This window comes from Homo sapiens, chromosome 20 (genome assembly GCF_000001405.40).
Source record: "Homo sapiens chromosome 20, GRCh38.p14 Primary Assembly".
In the NCBI taxonomy this organism is placed as follows: domain Eukaryota; kingdom Metazoa; phylum Chordata; class Mammalia; order Primates; family Hominidae; genus Homo; species Homo sapiens.
Genome location: NC_000020.11, coordinates 11,905,996 through 11,929,944, shown reverse-complemented (window position 1 = coordinate 11,929,944; position 23,949 = coordinate 11,905,996). Strand labels below are relative to the sequence as shown.

General features: G+C 38.0%; 1 protein-coding gene and 1 long non-coding RNA gene across 16 annotated transcripts in view, besides 2 other annotated features; one reads left to right on the top strand and one right to left on the bottom strand.

The window, feature by feature from the left end:
* Positions 1-3,349: 3,349 nt before the first annotated feature.
* The window catches only part of BTBD3 (BTB domain containing 3), a 35,779-nt gene continuing 15,179 nt past the window's right edge, over positions 3,350-23,949 (bottom strand). For 3 of the 15 annotated variants that reach the window (NM_001395005.1, NM_001395006.1, XM_047440013.1), the window contains exons 2-5: positions 11,344-12,167; positions 10,769-10,859; positions 10,109-10,227; positions 3,350-7,311 (exon numbers count right to left, since the gene is read on the bottom strand). In NM_001395005.1, the coding sequence (NP_001381934.1) occupies positions 6,279-7,311; positions 10,109-10,227; positions 10,769-10,859; positions 11,344-11,669 (1,569 nt within the window). In that variant the 5' untranslated portion in view covers positions 11,670-12,167 and the 3' untranslated portion in view covers positions 3,350-6,278. Of the gene's footprint in view, positions 7,312-10,108; positions 10,228-10,768; positions 10,860-11,343; positions 12,168-23,949 lie in introns of those variants that run through there. The other 12 variants (NM_181443.4, NM_001282550.3, XM_047440014.1 and 9 more) reach the window with 9 other exon arrangements.
* Positions 4,272-4,772: an enhancer, noted in NCBI's record as "H3K4me1 hESC enhancer chr20:11905821-11906321 (GRCh37/hg19 assembly coordinates)". NCBI's record gives its function as "activates a minimal SCP1, AML or CMV promoter by ChIP-STARR-seq in naive H9 embryonic stem cells {active_cell/tissue: H9 hESC(naive)}" and the evidence as "EXISTENCE:reporter gene assay evidence [ECO:0000049][PMID:30033119]".
* Positions 4,773-5,273: an enhancer, noted in NCBI's record as "H3K4me1 hESC enhancer chr20:11905320-11905820 (GRCh37/hg19 assembly coordinates)". NCBI's record gives its function as "activates a minimal SCP1, AML or CMV promoter by ChIP-STARR-seq in naive H9 embryonic stem cells {active_cell/tissue: H9 hESC(naive)}" and the evidence as "EXISTENCE:reporter gene assay evidence [ECO:0000049][PMID:30033119]".
* Positions 11,344-20,541, top strand: BTBD3-AS1 (BTBD3 antisense RNA 1). The gene is made up of 3 exons (NR_186407.1): positions 11,344-11,631; positions 16,269-16,631; positions 19,438-20,541. It is a non-coding gene; the product is annotated as a BTBD3 antisense RNA 1 (long non-coding RNA).

The following is a 23,949-nucleotide window of genomic DNA, read 5'->3' as shown; positions in this document are numbered from 1 at the left end:
TACCTTCTTCCTAAAAGATTGTAAAGATACAATCAAGGGTGGATATCTATATACCAACTATCTACAGAGGATGGTAGAGGAAAAAACTGTTTGCCTTCCCTCTCCATAGGATAAATGTAAGGCAAGAGGTTGCATCCCACTTCAGCAAGCCCCTTTCTGACTGGATGTTGAAAAGCACACGGCACCCTGGGGATCTCCCCTCCACACTTCTAAGACCTCCATCCTTCTTTCCATCCCTGGCCCCTCTGGCCTTCACTGGCATTGGCATGGATCTCTCAGCCCAAACTGCGCCTCTTTCCTCCAGTCTGATCCAGCATACTGTTCCCAAGGCTGTTTCTAAAACACAAAACTGTTGTTTTCTGTAACTCAAATCTCTATGTCACTGATTTATTTTGTGGATAAAAGCCAGATAATTTAGCCTAATACACGAAGTGCTTACTTCATGCCTCTGCCCAGCTGATCATCCTACTCCAAACCTGGCACACAGTAGGTGGCCTCATTCTTCCACGGGTTCCCTTTACTGAACTGTATTAAGCTGTCTGCCATTCTGTCCCCACTGATATTTCCTCTTCCAGAATTCCCTTCATCCCCCTTTCCCCTCATGACAATTTGCATCACCAGTCTTCACAAAGATCATTCTAGTGCATCCTTTACAACCCAACTTAAGCATCATTTCCTCTGGGAAACTTACTGTTCTACCCCAAGGCAAGCCACATCACCTCTTACTGGTCTCTGACTCTCCGGCATCTCTGTGACTGCCGGGGATGAAGCAAAAGATCAATAAATGATTGGTGAATGAATGAATGGTGGGTTGATCCCTTGAATGATTCATTAAACCTTCTGTCTCTTCTAGGGAACTCAATTATGCAAAAAACCAATATATTCTTCAGTCCATTAATGCCTCCAAATGTTCTTGGACTTTTTCTTGAAGACTGAAGAGCTACGACAGCCTTTAATTTTGAATTGATTAACGTTCAATGCACTGTATCAACACAATTATAAGGGGTGCTGAAATAATTTAAAGTTTAGTACTGTTTAAGACAAGCACAAAAATGAAAATTCCCTAAGACAGCTAGAATGTCTCTCAAAAGCACATTTTTACATATTCTACAGTATAACAGAATGTACCCTCTGCTTCAAGCTTTGAAAGATTATTTGTGCTTCCCTAGTCACTATCTTTCTTTTGACTTTTCGAAGATAGTTTAGGGAAGAAACTTCATATTGTATAGCCACAGTAAAGGCTGCTACATATCAAAATATTTTATAGACTTTCCTTGTTTCTCACGAAAGTCTTCATAGTTCAGGCTGCTCACTGATTTGCTGCAGCACTCCATGTCAAAGCTAACATGGAGGCCACTAGTATGACTTGTCTTTAATTTCTTTCAGGTGTAATTTTACTCTAAAACCATTGAAATCAAAGAGAGTTTATTAAATATAAAACTGCCCACCAGTCATAAAAACAAAAATGTCTTAATTTGAAGTAACTTTCCGTACTGTTGTCACATGAAGTGAAAAAGGACATCATCCTCATAGTAACTTTGAGCACATGCCCACTCTGATTACTACCAACAGCTTAAAGAGAGATCTTAAGAGTATTGTTTAAGGGCTAGTAGTCTCATAGATAACTTTTATTATGTCCTACATACAGATGTATTTAAAGTACAGGTTTGACCAAGAGTGGGTTGTTTTGTCTCACTACCTGTCTTGAGGTTAGGGACTTTTTAGATGGCAGAGCATAAAACAGCAGCATCTGCTAGTAAAACTGCTGTCCACTGGACACTGAAGTAGATGGGCATGTAAACAACGATCAGGAGGATAGTTAGGGTCGGCAAAAATAGGAATTACACTTTCCCTACTGCCCTTCACATCTCAAAAAAGTTTAAGAGGCAACAGGGGGAGATGCCCAAGTTCGGAAAGTATACCCAAACGTTGTCCGGAGACCAATCTGTAGCTGCTAGTGCCTTACACTGCTTGAAGTGCGGCAGGGTCGGCCACAGTCTTCACTTCTTCTTCACAGGTATTTCCATCTCACCTACCTGGCAATTTCTTAGTTGAGAAACTTTTCACCAGTGTTTATGTTGGTTATGGAAATAAATGAAGAAACTATTTTTGGAAATTTTCCCTGGTATTAGTTTTTAGAACACATACTCTGAAAAGAAGAGGATAAGGGAAGTGTAGAGCAAAGGGAATAGTTGGTCAATAAATGTAAATGGCTCCATAAAAATGTTGAAATGTACTAACGAGGAATCCACAAAGTGTGTTCATCTTCACCGAAGCACCTCAAAGGCACTCAAAACCCTGCTCTAATAAACACTTAACCACAGGTTTTCAGGGCAACTTGCTTGTTTTGGCCTCCACATTTTATACCGTTTAGGTCCTCAGAAATGCTTTTCTCCTTCCTGTTTTCTTCCAAGTGTAAGCCCATGGCTTTCACAGGCAAGTTATAGAGTCGACTGAGAAGACAGTGTACTTTCCTCGACACGTAGATCCCAAGTCCCAACAATGAAGGAGGATCGTTCCCAATTGTCTTGGAATAATGAAAATAAACATATATGGATTAAGTGGCAACAAAGATGAGATAATGGCTAAGGCATTCCGGGATTAAAGATCTTACAACTCAGGTTGTAACTGTGATTAAACTGATGAGAGTGGGGAGTTCCAGTGCCTTTGTTCTTTGGAGTAATTCCAAAACTCCTCTGGGCAAGTATGCTATGGAAACTGAATCCCGAGTAGATGAAGCGGTTAAGCAAATATACAGGGTTTCACACTAAACTGCAGTAGAAAAGCATCAGAAACTGCAGAAAAAAGAAGTGTATGTTCATAATTATGTATGATTATGTGGATGTGTGTATATAAATACTTGATATAAAGAAATATAATGGAAAACTAGTTGAGCACATAAAAACTATATTCAAAATTCTTACGTGCCATTTTTTAAATTCCTAGACTTAAGCTACTGTAACAAAGGAAAAAGCAGCATTGGTCATATCAGAAGCCAGATGTCATTCAGTATCAACACCCCCCTTAGCACAGGAAGATCCAGACATTTGAGCAACTATAGCTTCAGAATACCGGCCAACCACGAATTCCATAATAGAAATATAAATGCATCCATTCATTCCCTCTCATTAACAGTCAGGCTTTGAACAATGCAAGTGATTAACACATTCATTGTTCTGTTATCCTTTTGCCTCAAATTTTTACTTCTTTAGGGATCAAAGATATCTGAACACTTAGCTAACAAATGCCTCTGCGAAACCATCTCTGCAAAACGTAGTGGGCATCAAAAGTGCCAGCATGAATTTTTTACTATCTCAAGGGTGTGACAAAAGCACTAAAGGAAAACAAATCTATGAACTAGTTTTATTTGCATTTAACATGATTATACACATTCATGTGTCTAACAAGATCTGCACTGTTACATTAAAAATACAGTACAATAACATTCAACATGAGGTACTTCATATTTATGTATTTTTTCCTTCATAAATAATGCTGTAAGCTACTAAATTCAAGCACACTGATGCACAAGTGGCTACAGTGTCTTGAATTAGCTGAGCTTATTTAAACACCTTAATAAACAAAAAAGTTCAGTGCAATAATTATGTAGAAATTAGACCATTTACTTAAATACTATTTTAAGATATGCTTAAAGAATGTCACATTAGAACTGCTAGCCTAGTTCCCCTTTATCCCCAGAATGAACAACGACAAAGACTGCCAGCCAGATACGTTGGGGAAAAGCATCTACAGTGTATTCTGCTTAATAAAGTTGTGTTTATAGAATAAAGTTGCCTGCTTTGTTAGAACAATGGTTTCTAGTTTTAAAAGCTACAAAATCCAAGATTACAAAAGTAAATAAAGCAAGCATATTAGCCTTCATTCCATTTCATTGAAAATGCATAAAGGACAATAGGGTTTAAAATGTAAAATTTCTTATTCTAAATACAATTTTCAAATTTTACCCACAGCTCTCGGTACCAGCCAATCAGATGGTAGATATGTTTTAAAGTAATAACAATTAACATAAAATTACATTATTCTATACACAGTGTACAGGATTTCACACGACTTTCACCAGCAGCTCACTAGTCACATGGAGGCAGCTAGCAAACATGGGCACTGACAGTGAGCGTTAGTGAATGAACGCACTGCACCTGAAGACTATCACACCCACCTCAACAATCTGATAGGATGCAATTAAAGTTTCTTCTCTGGCTTACAAACAAGTGCCTTCTTATAAGGTCTACCAATTTGCACAGCAGCTATGAGTTACTGAAATGTGTAACCATAATTTAAAAACCAAATCTTTTGTAGAAGTGTGCTTTTTAATTGAAAATGTACCTTTGTACTTCAATGCTTTGCCAAACTACCTGTAATCTCCCCAATAAGAAATAATTGTACTTTTAGAACGTTGTCCTGGAAATACTCATCTATAATCACCAGTAACAGCTTTTCATCATCTATGCTAATAGATGTAGGTAATGGCAAGAGTGATTAAAACATTTCCAATAATCCAGTGTTCTCCTCCCTCAGGGAAGCCGGCTGAAGGCAACAAGCCCACATCTACAGGGGAAGAAGTGGCCCAGAGGCACAGTGAATACGTCAGGGCAGTCACTCATGGGCCTTGCTGGGGCCAGCAGGAGGACCATTACTGTCCCACCTCTTACTAGCCAGGTAGAGAGGAGACAGCTCCTGAGCTGGCAAACACACTTGCATGCGCATGGGTGCGCAGGCACACACACACCCCAGGACTAACTCCTGGCTCCAGACAAGCCAGTTTCAGGCTTGCAGAGCAGGAGCAGGAGGCGGCCAAGGACCACACTCTGGGTGGCGGCGGGGAAGCCATCTCAGGATCACACTGAGCAGAAAAGCTGCCCAGAAACACATGGATACTTCAACTGGAAGTGAACACACTGGACACTGCCAGGGACACAGGCACTAAACCAGCACAAGCCAGCAGCGAAGGAGAATTTAATAAGTTTTTCCCTCCTTTGTTTACATTATCTGTGGACAAGTAAGGGAGCTAGATGTGATACTGATGCAGTGAATATTAGGTATAATAAAATGTGTCACTCCAGGCCATTTTTTATAAACCCTGCAGGCATATGTTGGCACTTTAAGATGGCCAGGGGCCAGATTCTAGCAGTCTAGGAACAGGACAAAATTAAAATTAACAAAGAATATAGTATACAATCAAAGTGGATCAGGTAAAGTATATTTCAAATTTAAAAAAATGAACAAAGGTATCTCATTACATTAAATGTAGTGCTACAAAACTAGTTGCTACTCCATTTGTATAAAGAATTGTTTGGTCCTCTTTTAATGGGGAAAAAGAAAATAGAAATTCTACACAGTATGACTTATACAAATAAGCAAACAGTGGGGATCAAAAGCTAAGTGGAGAGAAGAGTTTGGCTTTTTCAAACTGCATATTCTTATATGCCATCAATTAAATTATTTGTAGTATGAGTCTTTTTCAGGCTTCCTTTTTAAACTGTCTTAGTTTAAATTAGTAGGAGTTTAACTTTTTTCTACTGACAATAAAATCTAAAAATTTACTTCTAAAAGAAGTATCTGTATTGAAATTTTTTGTCTTCTAAACTAAAAGAAAAGAAATCTGCTTGTAGAAGTCATGGCCTAAACAAATGCCCCCAGTTCCTTATTTTCCAATTTTACATTGATATTCTGAAGTGTTTAATACCTAACTATCTTATGAATTTAGTAATTTTTTAAATCCCAGAAGCAACAAATGTAAAAGGAATAAAACGAGAGCCAAACACAACCACTGTCTACTTTCTAAATTATTACTCATTACAAGGCAAAACTTCTTTCAAAATTGTACACTGAGGTTTATCTGTTTTGGGGGGTAAGAGGAGTTCTGTTTAAAAATAACTCTTGTTATCACTTTATTTCTGTTCATCAAATAACGTCCAAAAGGAAATTCAAGGTGATCCAAAATTATCTTCAGAGGGACAAAACTGAGAGGGTGGTGGAACGCTTGGGAAAGCACATAATCTCCCCAGGTTCATAGATGCAACTCTAAAAACCACAAAGCCTTAATAAGAACGTTAGCTCTTTTAAGCAGATAGTTAAAAGCGGAATGCTGCATTTTTGCCTGTACATAATTAAAAGGTTAAAAGAAATTAGAACCTGCCTACCGCTTCATTCATTACAAATTACCGGCACTGATCACATATTTGCAGATGAGCTAAGCATCAGGCAAGTTGGAACCAGATGTGCACTTTGGAGCTCAAGCTGCTTCAGGAAGTGAGTTTTCAAGCATAGAATATAAGTTCAGGGATCTGCCCTCCCTGTACCCCAGTGCCATTGGTGCTATCTGAGGAGCACTGAAACTGGACAGTCACTTTGCCACACTGAACTTCTGTCATGCCTTCTTGTCCAAAGTAGCTGAGTTCATTGCCATCCAGTATCACACTGGCTGTGTAGAAGGTGTCTGGCTCGATCTGCACTGGGTATTCAAACCATACGGGAAAGGTATTGCTGGACCCATCTGAGAAGTACTTGCTCAAGTTCTGCCCCAGGACAACGCCCTGCCGCTTAAGTTCAATCTTGGCACTGTATTCTGCAGAACCACAGCTGGAGCCATACAGCCCAAAGCCAGCAATGAACACTCTTTTATCAACTGCAAACTGGATGCTGTCACAGCGACCACGATAGCGCCATTGGTTGCTTCGATAGGCACACGACTGGAAACGGTGACAGCGCTGGGGGACAAGGCCCTTACGGGCTTTACTCACAAACTGAAGCTCAGGCTTTTTGGCTGCAGTATACCAGAGGAAGATGTCGTTGGTCTCATTGAGAGTTAATACCCCGGACTGTGCAGCACCATTTGCAAAATCATCGAGGGCCATTGTGGGTATGCGGATCAAGTAAAGTGCCTTTCCTAGAACCTTGCGTTTATTTTCAATGCTCAACGCCAGATCTTGTCGTTGGCATTCTACTTCAGCCCAGTTGAGAGCTGCCTCAAAAACCACAATTTCTTTGGCATTCAGAGTTTCCCTACGGAGAATACTTTCTAGTGTCTGGAAGTCAATATCGCAGAATCCCTCAGACTTGAGAGCTAACTCAGCCTGGGCATCAATCACCTCCCAGCAACGCTGGGTCAGGTCTGGCTCCTCGAACAGGCAGCTCTGGGAGAGGAGCACACAGGCATTCTTGGCACTCAGGCTGGTCTCCAGGAAATTAACACAGGCTCTGGCAAGGTGAGGGACAATGTACTTTTTGGCAGCATAAAGTGTGGCCAGCACTGTGTCAGCAGCCAAGTCAATTTCATCACAATAGATATATCTGTAAAAAGCACATAACATGTAAGTGGAATTTTCACAAAATGAGTACATCCAGCAAGAAAAGATACAACCACTTTCAAGTTTGTTCTGAGAACATCATCTTATGTGACAGTTAATACAAACATATTTGCAGAGTAAAGGAACATTCGAAACATATTAATAAATTATTAATATTTTAACCCAGTAGTAAAGTTTGTATAATTAAAGATATTAACTTTGTGCTACCATTCTAGCCTCTATTTTATAAGCTGCATTCAGTGTCATCTCAACAAAACAGAAGCTATTGAAACTGAAAAACAACTGCATATTGAATAGTCAACATTACAAAAAAATAGCAAAATTCTATTATATATACTACATTATATTTAACCAAGAATAGTCTCGTTATGTTTTAAGAGCAATTATTGCATCTTCATGCTTTTGGAGTTTTCCTAAGCACAAAATAAAACCTGAGATTAATATTTTCCAAATAGTTCCAAGTTCAATGGATTATCAAAAGTATGGACTGCAATGCTATCGTCCAGTTAACTTTACATAGAATCCAACAGACTTTTTATTTGTTTTTGTTTTTTAAACTCAAAACTCTTCCTTCTCCACACATTCCTTCTACCTTCAGAATTCAAGATTACATTATTTCCAGATATATTTAATTAAAAGACAAAGTAGGAAAGCTTAAATATGTATTATTCCTGTGCTTCTGTGAACTGTCCTTATTTCAGGATATAAAACACTTCACAGGATACACTTTTTGGGAGACAGTGGCAGTCTCCCAAAGAGGCACGTAAAGGTAGTCATCATCTGCTTCTCTTCTACCTAAGGTCTACAGCTACTTTATCTTGAGTTTTCCTTTAGTTATTGTATTTCACCTTAGTGAAACACATAAAACTTAAGAAATTAGCAACAGCTTCTATAAGAAAGTAAAACACAAGAATGGCAATGAGAAAAATGTCCACGAGCACAAATGAAACCTGCCTTTTTGCTCACAGGAACCTTTCTCTTCTCTGATAGGCGAAGTCACCTACTGATGGCAAGGCCACTTGATAGTACACCTGCGGCTCAGTGATGCTCTGACTGTGAGCCAGGACCCTGGGGAGGATCCTAGAGCATGGTCAGCACTTTCGAGCTCTTACCCTGGAACTGTCAAGGGAGCAGCTGTCCTCTTTTTCTGACAACCCCAGGAATACTGGCTACTCATACTCGATGAAGCAGGCCACCGCTTTCACAACTACAGCACTAGAGCAAATGGCACCTGACTCATTTCTGATCTTACCACATTTTGTGGACTGCATGTATAATTTTATAAAGCTTTATCAATATCTGCTATAGGCAATGCATCTGTGGGAAAAGATACTTGTCAAATGATTCATCAAATGACTTAGGTGAGATGTAATTCTCTGCCATTCTTGTTCATGTTTCCTAATTATGTATATATCAGGAATGATACAACATCCTACTTGACTGCAGTGAAGACAAAATGCTGAACTAGTGCTAGCAATCTCCTCAGCAACAGAAAACACTATAAAAAATACAAAGCTGACTTCATGCAGTGGGGATACTTGCAGGTAAAACTGGTTTCTGTACATATATCTCCAAAAGATTACAAAGGTTAAAAGTAGCAGATTAGTTTACATTTTGGTACTTCACATGCTCACTTGCCTTTAATTTCCCTATCCCCTACTGTGAAGGTCTTGTCAGTGACAATTATATTTCAAAACTGTAAGATGAATAATGAATTAAATACTTTTAAGTTCTAGAACTAACTACAGTACTTATTTTTCAGAAGACAGTAAACAATGTATGGCAACATTTTAACTATATGTAGGAGTACTGTCCAACTTGTTGACCCACTGAATACTTTTTTCAACAAACATTTTACTTATTCCAATGAACTGAAATCCCTAGAGCAACAGATAACCTTAAAGTAATACACTTTGCTGTGCTAGAATAAAGATTAGGAAAAATCATATAAATACTACTTAGAATAATAATTAGATTATGATCACTTGGTGAACTACCACACTGTCTAGTACCGTACATGATAAAGAAGCTGATTCTATAACCTGTTTAACACATACTGGTGCCTGCAGAAGACCCACCAGACAGAAAACTATCTTTTTTATAAATATATAACGTATCTTTAAGTTTCATACTTCTGTATTACCAATGAAAGTTCTTCTGTATAAATCCACATGAAACTGTACGAGACTATCCATATCTTTCTAAGATTTCCCCTGTAATGTCAAATGCAAGTACTTTTTACCCTTGAGAGTGTCTGATTTTATATGAGTATGTATATGTATGTGTACACAAAGATCAGATTATTTCAACAGATGGTAAGTTTTTCATTTGCTCTTAGGAGACAATAACTCTTAGAATACTCAGAAATCTCCCAACTGGTGTTACTTAAATAAGGTACTTAACTTCTGAAATTGTGAAGCAAAAACATTTGTTTAAAGACTTTTTCACACACAATGCTTTCAGAGAGAACATCTTCTATTAAATAATGCTAATACCAGAAAGTTATTTGTCTTTAATTTTAAGTTGTTAAAAATCATCACTATACATGCCACTTGCTCCCAAATTCTACGTCAAGGTGCGATTATAAATGCTGCATAATTCCATATGCTTTCCACGGAAAGCTAAAGTGTTCTTTTCCGAAAACATTTACAAGGTAAGCAGCACCCTCTTTCTTCATCAGTCTTCTTTTCTGTTATGCAGAACTTAAATTTAACTGTGAAACCAGCAGGGTACAAATACAGCATAAACAAACTCTTTCCAAACACACGAATGATGCTTACTTCAGCATAGCGAGAAAAGCAGCAGGTTCGACATCTGGTATACGGATTTCATCTTTGTCCTCTGCAAGTTCTCCGTAAAACATCGCATGGAACACAGAGCTCCCAACAGCTAAAACATACTGTGTAGAAAGGGAAATCTTATTTCATACACTAAATTGAAGGCATTTCCAGCAAATCAATGCAGAAAAACAACACTAGGCAATCAGGTTTAGTAAACATAGCGTACCTAAAATCTACTGCTTTGAAAAAGCCAAGGTACACAGGGTAGCTTGCCATGGAAGCATAAGACCATGCTGCTAATTATTTCAAAGCTTTAAGAGATTAATGCACATGTCCCCTCATTACTAAATACATACAATAATAGCTTACATAACTAATTTCTAGGAGAAGGGTAAACATACGACTTTCCTGACCTGTCACAACAACTTCCCATGTCTGGAGAGTTAAGAGGGGATGTGTGAGATATAAAGCAGTATAGAAGGAAACAAAGAAAAAATTAAGCGTGGCCAAAGCCCTCTGGAGAGGGTGCGCTCTCTCCCTAATCGAGTGAAACATGCACTGCCTGACATCGGCAAGCTGCCCACACCAAGTTACAGGCTTATGGAAAGGGTCCCTCTTTGTAAACGTCAGGACTAAACCGGTCATGCAGCTGTTGCTTACTTTGTGTCCTGGCAACCGTTGAGTCCCACCTGGTGGCCCAACCACAAAATGTACATCTGCCATCAAATCATTATTGAACATCATCGCATTTCTATAAACAGAGGCAACTCATTAATTCACAGCAGCCTGCATTTTTAACATCCCCTTCCCCAACATACAAAACCCACAAAAGACTTGCAAGCTAAGCAACAGTCCAGTAACTTCAAGGCAAAACAACAAATAAAGGTTCTAACTAAACTGTTCATAATCATTGCAAACATAAGGGAAGTAACTAAAGTTTAAAATAAAAGTTATACAAACTTTTAATAAAGCTAAGGACAAATAAAAGGTTCCCATTTTCTATGGCCCATAGACAACCCTGTCACTTGAATGTTACAGCTTGCAAAAACATTTTTATCTAAGAGGAAAACAGCTGTACTGTTTTGGAAAAGATACAAGGCAATTTTCCATTACCAATAAAAAGCTTCTGGGAAAAGAGGAAACAGATTTGTGTTCAAATACATTACAGGTTTTGCAAAAGCAGAAACTTCAACACAGGAAAACTTTTAAAGTAAATAGACTAGCGCGGCACTTACCTCTCTCTAATGGTGGGATAAAGACCCTGCCAGTTTGGGGCCGGGATAAGGTTGTTGTTACTGAGATTCTGCTGGTGGTACTGCTGGACGCTGGTGCTGCTGGAGTTGGCTGGCTTTTTACGGGGGAATATATCAGCAGCCATCTTCTTCTTTTTAGTCTTCAAGGTAATTATTTCATAACAAACTGGTGGCAACTTGCTGCTGTTGCTACTGCTGCTGCTGGTATTTGCTTTCTTTGAGCTTTTCTTGGACCTGTTCTTTACCGTCTCTGGAAGCATCAAGAAGAAGGTGAGACATTTCATGTTCTTTTCCTTGTCATCTACCATGAGTACAGTGTGTCTCTCTTTAGAGTTAGATATCCCAAATTGGTTTGAACATCAAGGAAAAGAGATTAGCCCGGGCTAAGAGGTTAACTGAAACCAACAAAGCTGATATTTTGCTGCTTTTCTCAGCCAGGCAAGGTGACCTTTTCACTATGTTGAATAGAAACTGGCTTTAAGTTTTATCCAGTACTGGGTCTGTTAAATATATCCCCATCATGATTCCTGTTTCTCTTATTTGCTCATAAAAATAACTGTTTCCTAGATCACCTGAAAATGCTACACTGCAAAGATGACAGGCACAGAGCTGTAGCACTTCTTTTCTGAATTAGGTCAGCAAGATGGGCTGGAGCTGCGTGAGTCTGTTCAGCCGGCTGAAGTTGTGTGGTGAATGGATCGGAGGAGAGTAGGTATTACAGCCCTGCAGATGGAGTCAGACAGCCAGTGCTCCGAGCCAATAGCTGAAGTCACCAATCATGATTGGACCAAGCAAAACAGTGACACCTATTGTAACATGCATAGTTCTGATATTAAAGGAACAGCAGTTGCATTTTCTTGTCTACTGTATATTTAAACAAGATAATAACATATGAAATATATTTGACAACAGGAAGGGAGGAGTTTATGCCCACAGATTTCTCTTCAGTAGACATACATTATGTCCCCAGTTAAGCAGGATCAATTAACAAAGGGTAGGGACAGATATCTATATTTCTACTAAAATCTTTTTCCCAGCAGCATTTAGTTTCAAATACTTAAAACAAAATCCTCCAGTCTATAAACTGAAAAGGGCTATTAATAGCAAAACACATTTATTACACTTTAAAGGCAAAGGACGTTATTTTTCTTTTTCTTAGCCTCTTTTGAGTGCAAGTCATAGTCTAGTGCTAAAGAAGAGAACTGAGGCCATGTGTTCAGTTTACCTCCCAATGTTTTCTAGCTTCTATAATGGTCTTTGACAGGTGTCTCAGGTCACAAAATACTGTTAATTAGATTAAGATTATACCCGTACACCTAAGTACACTAAAGCATAAGATAAACTCTAGAAGTAAAAATAAGATTCAAATAAAAACAAATCTGATGATCAATGTTCAAAGGCTGTAATTCACTAAAAATATTTCAGATGGGGCCATGTTCAGGATCTCAAAATTCAACTTAACTGTTAAGGCTACATTTAGTCTTGTCTTAATTTTAAAGAATATAATCCACAACTTCTAAGACAGAACAAATAACAAGGCTATTCAAAATGATAAATGTTCGGATTCCACCTAGTTAAAATGCAAACAGGTTCTCTCTGCTTTGAATTAGAAGAATATAAGCTACCATTTGATTTTTGTAGGTGTGAATCCTCCAACCATTTCTAGCGTTGGTGAGTAAAAAAAACAAAAACACCGGCAATAGGTTCTGCATATGCTTATTTATTGTAAAGAGGGACTAATTAAAATATTTAATCTCACCCCTATCTATTTGGATCACGCTCATTTGTTCAAAGCACAGCAGCCATTTGCTACCCCTCAGGCAAATGCACCCTTCATGACCACAGCCCTCCTTGTTTTAACATTTGTCTGAATAATGACTACCTGACACAGTGAGGGCTCAGCAAATAAGAGTTACGATTGTTATTGTTATAATTAATAATCTGCTAAAGGCGGTTACCAGAAATCAGTCTTTAAATCCCTAGAACACTAAATTGAACCAAGAAATATCCTCTTTATTGTTGTTATTATTATTCTTAAAACCATTTGCAAAGCCTCTGTAAGAGAACCAGGGCCTGTAGCACAGTTACCTGTCTCCATTTTAGATGGATCCTGAAGCACTGCTTATTTATTATGATTATCATGTTCTCAACAGCAGAACACACACATACAGATACCTCCAAATCATCTTCATACACACTTTAACACACAATGTTAGAGAGGGATCTAGAAACCAGTTTAAAAAGCACATAGAGAAAGTCATGAAGAAACAAGTAAGCTCCTATTGACCTAATTATTCAGAATAGGGTTAACACTAAAGGATTTCTCTCTTGCTCAAGTGCCACTGAACTTCCTTGACCACTTCCTTGCAGGAAAGCTCCCATGCCAGGTAGGCCTTTCTGACTGGGATTAATCTCATAAATATTTCTAACAAATCTAGTATCTGGCTTTTCAGGTCAGAAGTAATCAATTAGAATGGAAAGGGAAACCAGCTGCTTTTAGGCAGACATACTATTAATTGGTAGCTGGATGGAGACAAAATAGAAAAAACATAAAACACAGATACAAGAACTTAGAAGGGTTTGTGATCTTTACTCATTTTGCATATGGCTCAATACCCATCACCAAGAAGTCTCCAAAACACATGGCTCTTACACCACTAAGTTAAAGAAAAAAAGTAAAGTGGATGTAACAGTTTGAGAAAGAGAAGTATGCAATATTGTAGAACATGTTTTCTAAAATTACAGATATCAGTTATTTAGAAAAATAAGTTTTGTAGAAAATTCTGACAATACTAGTTAAATGAAGTAGCGCTAAATCTGAATCATCTACAAGAGTGCTACAAAGAAGGGCATTATTACTCCAATGTATGTAAGGACTGATGAGCATGGCTGTTTAAAATCAAGACAGAAAAATTATCTGACGGCTACTTTTTCTTACCACGGTAATAAGGCAAGTAATGCAGGTTCTTGCTACTGAAAATGTAGTTGAAGGATCAGCAGCAGCATCTACAGGGAGCCTATTAGTCACCCAGAATCTCAGCCAGACTCTGGATCAGAATCTGCATTTCATACAGTATTCAAGGTTGAAAAAAACTTCACATAGATAACTACTGACTACTAGATGTCTTCCCAATGATCCAGTACCAACATCTGGTGCCATATGTTGCATTCAACTATTAAGTGAATTGAAAATAACTCAAAATAATTTAATTTAGTTTGGACATTAAAAACTTAACAACCCCTCACATCTTGTTCTGAAATTCTTCTGATTAGGCCCCAAATGTCAAATTCTAGGATTGAGGTGTGCAGACAGCCAACTGAGAGGGACCAAGATATTCTCTGGAAAGGAAGCGCCAGCCCCAATTATTTTAAAAGATAATGACAGTGATGATTTCGGCAGGAAAAATAAGGAATTAAAAAATGTCAACTATGAAGCAGATAATCACTTAGTACTTTTAAATGGTCTACTTCACAATTGTATTTCAACAAATTAGCAATGTAGCATGGTAAAATTAGCAACCAATCTAGTTCAGTCCTGGCTGGGCCACTTAAAATAGAGAAAGGCGAGTATTTGAACAAATCATTTAGCCTTTAAGGGCCTCAGTTTTCCTCAGCTATAAGATGAAAGAGATTCACCCAGAATGAATGTTTTTCAAACTTTACACTCAATCCACAGTAAGAAATGCATTTTATATTCTGACTTAGTACTAAACATAAACACACATACAGGCATACAAATGGAAAGACATGGCTCAAAAAACAAAACCTACTCTTAGCATGTTATGATATACACTCTGATATTTTCTATTTTCTTCTTTCTTCTTTTCTTTTCAATGTTGGTCATAATCCATTCAACTGATCTCATGACCACAGTTTAAGAAACACTGGTCTAGGTTATTTCTAAGGGCATTTAAGGTTTAACACACTAGGTTCTTTTCTTTTTTTTTTATTTTATTATTATTATACTTTAAGTTTTAGTGTACATGTGCACAATGTGCAGGTTAGTTACATATGTATACATGAACATACTAGGTTATTTTCTATCAAGAATTCAGACTAGGGACCACCAGATGATGGCAAGTTCATGAAACTCCTCAAGCTGTCGGTGAAATTGGCAGTATGTGTGCATTTATTTTTCTAGAAAGAGAAGCCATGGCTTTCATCTGCCATGAGTAATTGCAACCCAAAATACAATAAAATGTTAGGGTTAAAATGTTATAAAACTATAAGATTGATTTGAATATACAAAATTTTGGTATCACTTTATTCTTTCATTTCTATAGTCTACTACATTAAATACAAATTATGGCTTCTTTTCCTCCTTGATTAAACATAAATAGTTAAAACTCCATCTGTTGAGTCTGTAACCCAGAAACATCACCCACTGGGTTGAAGGGTAAAAAAGGATAGCAGCCTGATGTCTACTGCTACATTTTACTCCTAAAATTTCTTTCCAATAGGCATTTTATCACTTGTTTCTACACTTCCTGAATTTTAGAGCTGTCTGCCCTAATGAGGTAAATAGGCCAAGAAGTCCATCAAGTTTGTATGAAAGTATTCCCAAAATAAAACATACTGACTATGCAGTGTATTAGGTGTTGGGCATACGGCGGTGAGCAAGACTAGAAACCAAACTTAAAAAGTTAGCTAATAATAGTGTGTTTCAGTTGATTTTATAATTGCCAGAAAGCTGAATCACTGTTAACCTATTTCCATTCAATTCCCAATAATAACAAAATTATCCACAGAATTTAAGCTCACTTAGATCATCCTTTTCACCACTGGAAGGTTTGTCAGCAATCCTACCTTTATTTAATACAATCTGACATATTCACTTTGCAGACCTGAATGAGGTTTGAAACTGAACGGGACTCCAGAAATCATTTAATGCAACTCTTTTTTCACAGGTATGGCAACTGGTGTCAGAAGTATAAGGGGTTTGTGAAAATTCCACAGTAAAGAAGTGGGGCAACACCTGGACTACGAGGCGGATCTCCTGGCTTGTCATGTTGTTTGCTTCATTCACTCTAATATTCACTCACAGTAATTACCTCACACACTTACAGAATGCTCAATTGTCATATTTCTAATCTACTTTAAAAGAAGAGCTTTCTTTTAAAGTTTACAAAGATGAAAACCATGAACATATGTAGTCTGCACCCCTGTAGGGGCACACTACAGGCAAGAATGCTGAAAGGATACTTGTGGAATGAGATGGAAGGAAGGAACTGCAGTGAGGACGCTGCTCAAAAACAGAAGAGGCTCTCCAGGTAAAATAAAGTTAGAAACCAGCTATTCACGGTTAACACCAACTTCTATGTCAACAACTAATAATGCTGGCAACTCTTGTTTAACTTGCTCTAACTCTGGACTCCTTGTCTGGACTTGTACATGGTTTACTACAAGGCCGCTAAAAAGCAACAGCAGTGAGGTTAACAGAGGTTTAAACAAGGTAAGGTAGACTGAAGAAATACCTATCACTTCCAAAAATGATTAACATAACCTAACAGAGGAGAGTAGTTTAATCTGGTAAGTTATGAGGGAATAGTGTTTTGTTTTTGCTTATTTGTCCCTTCAATACTGAGCAAAAATTATGCTTTTGATTTGGGAGGTAAAAAGATAAGCAACAAAATGTTGGCAGTCCCCAAAGTCAGCAGAAGCTGCTGGAAAACAGACTATATATGCTTTCTAAATTTGGAAATAAATATGGAGTCAAGCGCTGGAAGCATAGCATAGCTAAAAAAGCAAGAGCTAACAACAAGTGACCTTAAGGTCAGTATTTGTGAGCCTCATTTTCCACATCTGCCAAATGGGGTAATTAGACCCAGCTTCTCCCTCAGGTTTATTGTGAAGGCAAGATTATATGTTTTGTGAAAGCACTTTAGTTAAAAACAGTCTACAAAGGTAAGTTCTCACCATTAGCAGCAATTGTGCCCAAAGCAGGAAACGTTTGTGATGCAATCATCTAAAACACAAAATCTCAAAGATTAATCTAGCTCCTCATCCTTGTACTCTTTTCAGACTGCACAGCTACTGACATTTCATCCTATCTGCAGGCTTCCTCTAGCCCCACCTATGGGCCAAGCAGGTCCCATTTTGCTGTGAATCTGATTTTGCAGGGAAGGTTCAATAATAAGCAAGATTTGTGCTGTGCACTGTGATCCGGTCCACACCCAATGTCCAAATCCCACAGTGTTATTTCCAAACCTGCACTTGAACCCACACTTCAGGCTGGGTGCCCATTGTGGACTTCAAACCTCCATGAGGCCACCTGTTGGCTGATTCACTGCTGTGCCCACTTCCTGAGACAGCCTCCTGCAAGGAGCCCATCTAGCCACCCAGCCATATCTCACTAGCAACTCAATTTGGCCTCTCTCGACAATGACCCAGTTTGAATTCCAGCACCAAGGTTGATAACTAAGGCCAAGTATTTGGCCAAGGCATACCTCAGTGCTGTCCACAGTATAAGGTTCATGGTCAGTTTCATTAAGCCACCTTTTCACCACACAGAGCTCCAGTTAACCTTGAATTGTACTTTAGATTTGGGGTGAGCGGGGGGTGGGGAGGAATGCCCAAAGGTAGAATGTGGTAATTCTTAGAAGGCAGGGAACGATGATTCTTTTTAAAATTCCATATGGCACTTACCATGACATTTGACGATTATAGCTCTTACATACACACTGTGTCTCAGTGTGCACCTTGTTTGGAATACTAAACTACTCATCTAAATCCCAAATTATTCTCTTCCATACATTAAGTGATCTTGAAAAGGGGTATATAAAGTTTACCAGGAGATACTCTGAAGATGGCTATTTAAAGGAATATTATAATTTCTTTTGTAAAGTTGAAGATACTTCAATAAAAAAAGGCAACCAATTGCTAAGTTTTACATACTCTAGATCAAGTTTGTCCAACCTGCGGCCCTGCAAGAGGCCTAGGATGGCTTTGAATGCAGCCTCAAACAAATTCGCCACCTTTCTTAAAACATTATGAGATTTTTTTTTTCTGCAATTTTTTTAGCTCATGGGCTATCCTTAGTGTTAGCATACTTTATGTGTGGCTCAAGACAATTCTTCCAACATGGCCCAGGGAAGCCAAAAGGTTAGACAACTCTGCTCTAGATGATCTCATGGTACATTTCCTCAGGTGTATTGACTACATGATCGCCTATCTTTTCCAATTATAGGTTTCTAGGATTTAAAAAATCTGTATAATATTTGCCAGAAATAGTTATTTACTTAATATAATTTTCTTTACATTTTAATATGATTATGACCAATACCCAACTAAAACTCTGTGTACATATGTAAGTGCCATATTTTATGGACTGTAGATTCCTTGTGCCTCCCCCACCCTCGCCACTTTAACATCTCTGAAACTGGTTTGTGTCTTTTAATTGATGCCATCTCATGAGTGTAACTATTAGGCTTTTTTTTTTCCTTTCTTAGCAGTACATAAAGTAATGGCATGTCTTACACCTGATGGCACCCTACAGTCAGTGAAATACGGTAAAATTTGTACAATTCAACAGAAAGAAAGAAATCTTTTTTTTAGGTTGCTTAATTATTTCCTTAACCAGGCAAGATGATGGCTCAGAATTCTGGCTGAACTACATTAGAATAATTGAGCTTTCATCAAGTAGTTATTTGATAAAGTATATAATCACAATTCTCAATTGAGACTGCTACTATGACAACCATTGATATGGTAGAATATCTAGATGGAAATCTCAAAATGAGAATTTGCATTGCCAGGACTGGTAAGAGTTCCAGCATTAATATAATGCATTTCTAGTATTTTCTCATGCCACACAATTGTACATAAAATGTACATAAAACTGATCAGTATAAGCCTGTAACTCTCTGGGTAATATTTGCTAAAGATATTTTATCAATCAATTCAAGATTTATTAACTTACAACTACTTTATACATAGGTTAAATATGGAGCTAAATGACTCATTAGAAGATATTGCTTACTTTCAAACAAATAGAATCCATATTAAAATGTTAGCTTAAGAGAGAGAAACATTATCATAATACAATGATCCCAATATATATATATGACTTTCTACTAGGTACTTGAAAATAGTCTATCCAAAGAAAAGTAAAATCAAGGCTCAGGAGGTCCCTTTCAAAAAGGCCTGAATGGGGCTGTTCCAACAAAGGACTTCAATCAATCCTACTGGGAATGCTGGAATGGAACAACCTCACCCAACCATTGCTGTGGCTTTCTCCAGGTCATTTGTTGGCTTTAAATAACAGAAGAAGAAAATAATATGTTTCGGTCAAAGAAAAAGGAAAGTGTTTCCAAAGATATGTTTTACTTTGGCTAGTATTAGTTTTTTTTGTTTTTTTTTCTGATATTCGAAAGATAGTCACCAAGAACATCTCCTCCATCAGATCATCAAAGTCCAAAAGCTTCTCTCACATATTAACCAAAGAGTATCTTGTTCTATTTGGGAAAAACACCTTTTCCAAGAACACATGGGACGGGAAGAAAGAATCCAGACAACTCCCAAATCACCAGATATTCTACATCAGTCCTGATTATTAGTGAGGTTCCAAGTATCACAGCCAAATTTCCCCAACATCCACAACTAAGTTCTATACCTTTAGTCACTCAGTGCTTAGAAATAAACACTGCTCTCCTGTCCTTCAATTTACTGCCTCCCCGCCATCAACACCAAACACCTGAATTATATCAATTATCTTAGATTTTAAATTGTGCTCACTGTAAAATGAACAGGACAGGTTGGGAAAGGCAAGGCCAGAAAAAGCTTTTTATTTTGTTGTTTTGTTTTGTTTTGTTTTGTTTTGCAAAACCACATAGAAAAGACCAGTTACAATTTCACATTTTGACAAACACTATACACATATCCAGAAGGTCTCAATTAATTACTATTTAATGAAATGCTATCCTTTGTTTTACAATGTATGCGACCAGAATGAAATATAGTTATTTTGGGCAAACAATACAAGATCTAACATTAAGAGGTCTGCTATGCTGAGTGAAATCTGAGAAATCTTGCTGTGGGAAAACTTAAACATACATGAAGTTACAAAGTAGCTTAACACTCAATTTCTAACATACCTTCTCTCGAGTAGATACCACCAAATAAAAATGAAAAAAGGCACCTACATTTCTAAAATAAATAACAATAATATTCCCTAACAAAAAATTCAAGTAGAATTAGAAGGCTGTAACAGAGCATTATTACAGAAACCAGTTTCTGGCAAAAACTCACAGTAAAAGCTCTTCTAGAACCAAATTAAAAGATACATTTTATGCTACTTTTTTTTTTTTTTTTGACAGGGGGTTTCGCCCTTGTTGCCCAGGCTGGAGCACAATGGCACAATCTCAGCTCACTGCAACCTCCGCCTCCAGGGTTCAGGCAATTCTCCTGCCTCAACTTCCCAAATACCTGAGATTACAGGAATGCGCCACCACACCGGGCTAAGTTTGTATTTTTAGTAGAGACGGGGTTTCACCATGTTGGTCAGGCTGGTCTCAAACTCCCGACCTCATGTGATCCACCCGAACTCCTGACCTCATGTGATCCACCCGCCTAGGCCTCCCAAAGTACTGGAATTACAGGCATGAGCCACCGCGCCTGGCCGTTTTATGCTACTTTTAATTAGCTTAAAAGTATACAATCCCCATCAACTGTTGTGAAGTACACAATAGAAAGGCACAGTATACTTTAAATGTTGGTATAACCTTAAATATAATAACACCAAGTAACATTCACAAACTACCACCATTTGCTGCAGGAAATAATAATTCGACACTGATAAAGCACTTCTTTGTTGCTTCAACCTCTCATGCTATTATAATCAGAATAAAAATTGAGGTTCCATACCTAGCTTTATCACATGTATTAGAACTAAGAAAATAGAGTATTTCAAAAAAAATTCAATTCTCTAATATTCTCTAAAATAAAAATAATTATTTTTTTAATTAAGAGCTACTATATAAGTAGGTCAGTACTTGAACTGCCCAGAGATTTAGAGTAAAATAATCTAATTGCTCATGAAATAATGCTAAAATAAGTCTCACTTAAAGTGGGGACTATTCATGAAAACATGTTCTTAAATTTGAGTTTCTCCAGTCTCTGCATCACATAACAATAGGGAGGACAGCATTTATAATACATAGGAACTTTAACCATAATAAACAGATTAAAAACATTAAAGTCAAAATACATCTTCAAAGAGTGGCAACTCAACTGTCAGTACCTTATTTAAAAAAAAAAAAAAAAAACCACAGAGAAGCAACCACTCCACCATAGTTAACAGAGATATGAACTCATACAAGATCCAAGGTGATGATGACTGGAACCAGACCAAGGAAGGACAATCTCTGAAAATGGTGATCACAATTTACATCTGAGTCAGGTCTCTCTGCATAAGGATTTTACTTGTCATCTGCGGAGATGCCATAATTTCTACTAAGAGTTCCGTATAGGAGACCTGGGTGATGTCAGTATTTGACTGAAGTAACACTCTTGTAAAATTTAAAATATAGCATCAAAAATGAGACAAAAAGAGGCATGTGGTCAAATCTTTACTCTATAATGCTCTTCCCTAAGGGGCTATCATCTAAATTGAGGAAGGTCTCTCTCACATACCAGAGAAGTGCAAACAAGCATCCGCCCCGGAAGAAGGGAAGAAATTCTGTCTCACCTTTCCCAGTGAGAGGAAGCATGGCTTGCAATGCATTTTGGATCTCCATGACCTGGCTCAATTCCCAATTAGATCTTTTGACTCATCCTCTTCATTCACCCACCCTGCAAACCAGACTATTCCCACACTACAAATGGGTCCATTGCTTCCTGCCATCCTCACTGCCCTTTCTTCTGTACAACCCTACGTATAAAAAGCCTACCCACCCATCCTTCAAGACGCAGTCCAAAGGATACCTAAGCAAGGAAGGTTTCCTGGTGCTTCCAGACTCATCATGCCCAAATGCAGTACTTTCTCACATTCTATCTTGCCTTATGTTGCCTGATTAAAGTGTGCTTTCTCTGAGGACTGCATCTCCATATCTGCAACAGTGCCATGCCCATGCACCTGGCTTTCAATGGTTACACAAGAGGAGGTTAAAGCCCAACACTTCCAAGTCCAATTAGAACTCCAGATCACACTTGTGGGGTGCAACTGGTCCTAGACCAAAATGGTCTGAAACTAAGATCTACAGTGTTTCTAGTTGACTGAGATGCAAGCTTAGACTAGGTAGAGTGGAAAAGAACCTGAATACCTATTAAATGTGTCCTGGGGCTCTCCTGAACATGTCTAAGCACAAATGCAGTATTATAATACCACATTAATCTCACAGCTAATCCAACTGTAAACACCAAAGCTCAACTTAAAGCAAGTCCCTACATGCTTAGAGTAAGGCTTCACTACATTAAAAGTCTAAAATTTAATGTAATACACATATTCACAGAGAAGTGTGGGTTAACCAGGAACAAGAACTATTACCAGGACAAAGCTGCCTTTATCAACCGGCCTCAACTCATGGCCTGGCATATTTATTTATAGTGCTAGTAAAGAATTTTAATGATTTAATGAACTGGAAAGGATGATAAATTCTCAGCAATTCACGTGAAAAGAGGAAAGCAGTCACATGAATAATCCAAAAAAAAGGATAATTAAAAAGACTGTCTAATGTGGTCCTGAAATGTGTTTCACCTGTACTTAACACTGAATCGATGAATTTCCACTACATTAGACACACCCAGTCTTCAAACAAAGTAATAAAATAGGCTTGTGTGTATAGGGCAGTAGGAAAATGCATGCCTCCCCTGCAAATAAACCACAATTCTAAGATGGGCGATGTCTCATTTCAGATTACTGCAGAGCAAAAGCACAAGTAGAAAAGTATACTGCTTACATGCATGAGTCTCTGTCTCACTTCACTAAGAAGAATCAGGCAAGTAATCAGGTGTTTGACTTTTTTACAAAAAATAAAGAATTCTCAACTTCCATCTATATATTCCCTTACAACATTGAAGTAACAGGCCGGGTATGGTGGCTCACGCCTGTAATCCTAGCACTTTGGGAGGCCTAGCTGGGTGGATCACCTGAGGTCAGGAGTTCAAGAACAGACTGTCCAACATGGTGAAACCCCATCTCTACTACAAATACAAAAATTAGCCAGGTGTGGTGGCATGTGCCTGTAATCCCAGCTACTTGAGAGGCTGAGGCAGGAGAATACTTGAGCCTGGGAGGCAGAGGTTGCAGTGAGCACCGATAACACCATTGCACTCCACCCTGGGCTACAGAACGAGACTCCGTCTCAAAAAAAAAAAAAAAAAAAAAAAAAAAAGGAGTAATAATAAATGGAAATTATGGTATCAGTAGTGGAATAACTTATTTTTGGCCAAAACTGGAAAGTATCTTGCTGGGCCGGTGTGTTTATGGAACCTTTACCACCAGCAATGATTTTAAAAACCATTAAGAGTGTTGAAAATGTAAAGTCATAGTTTTGAGATTTGTGTTGGCCAAAATAAATAAATAAATAAATCTGCTCAAATTTTTCAATAACGAATTCACTGGCCATAAAAGTATATTTCTTAGAAGGCAGG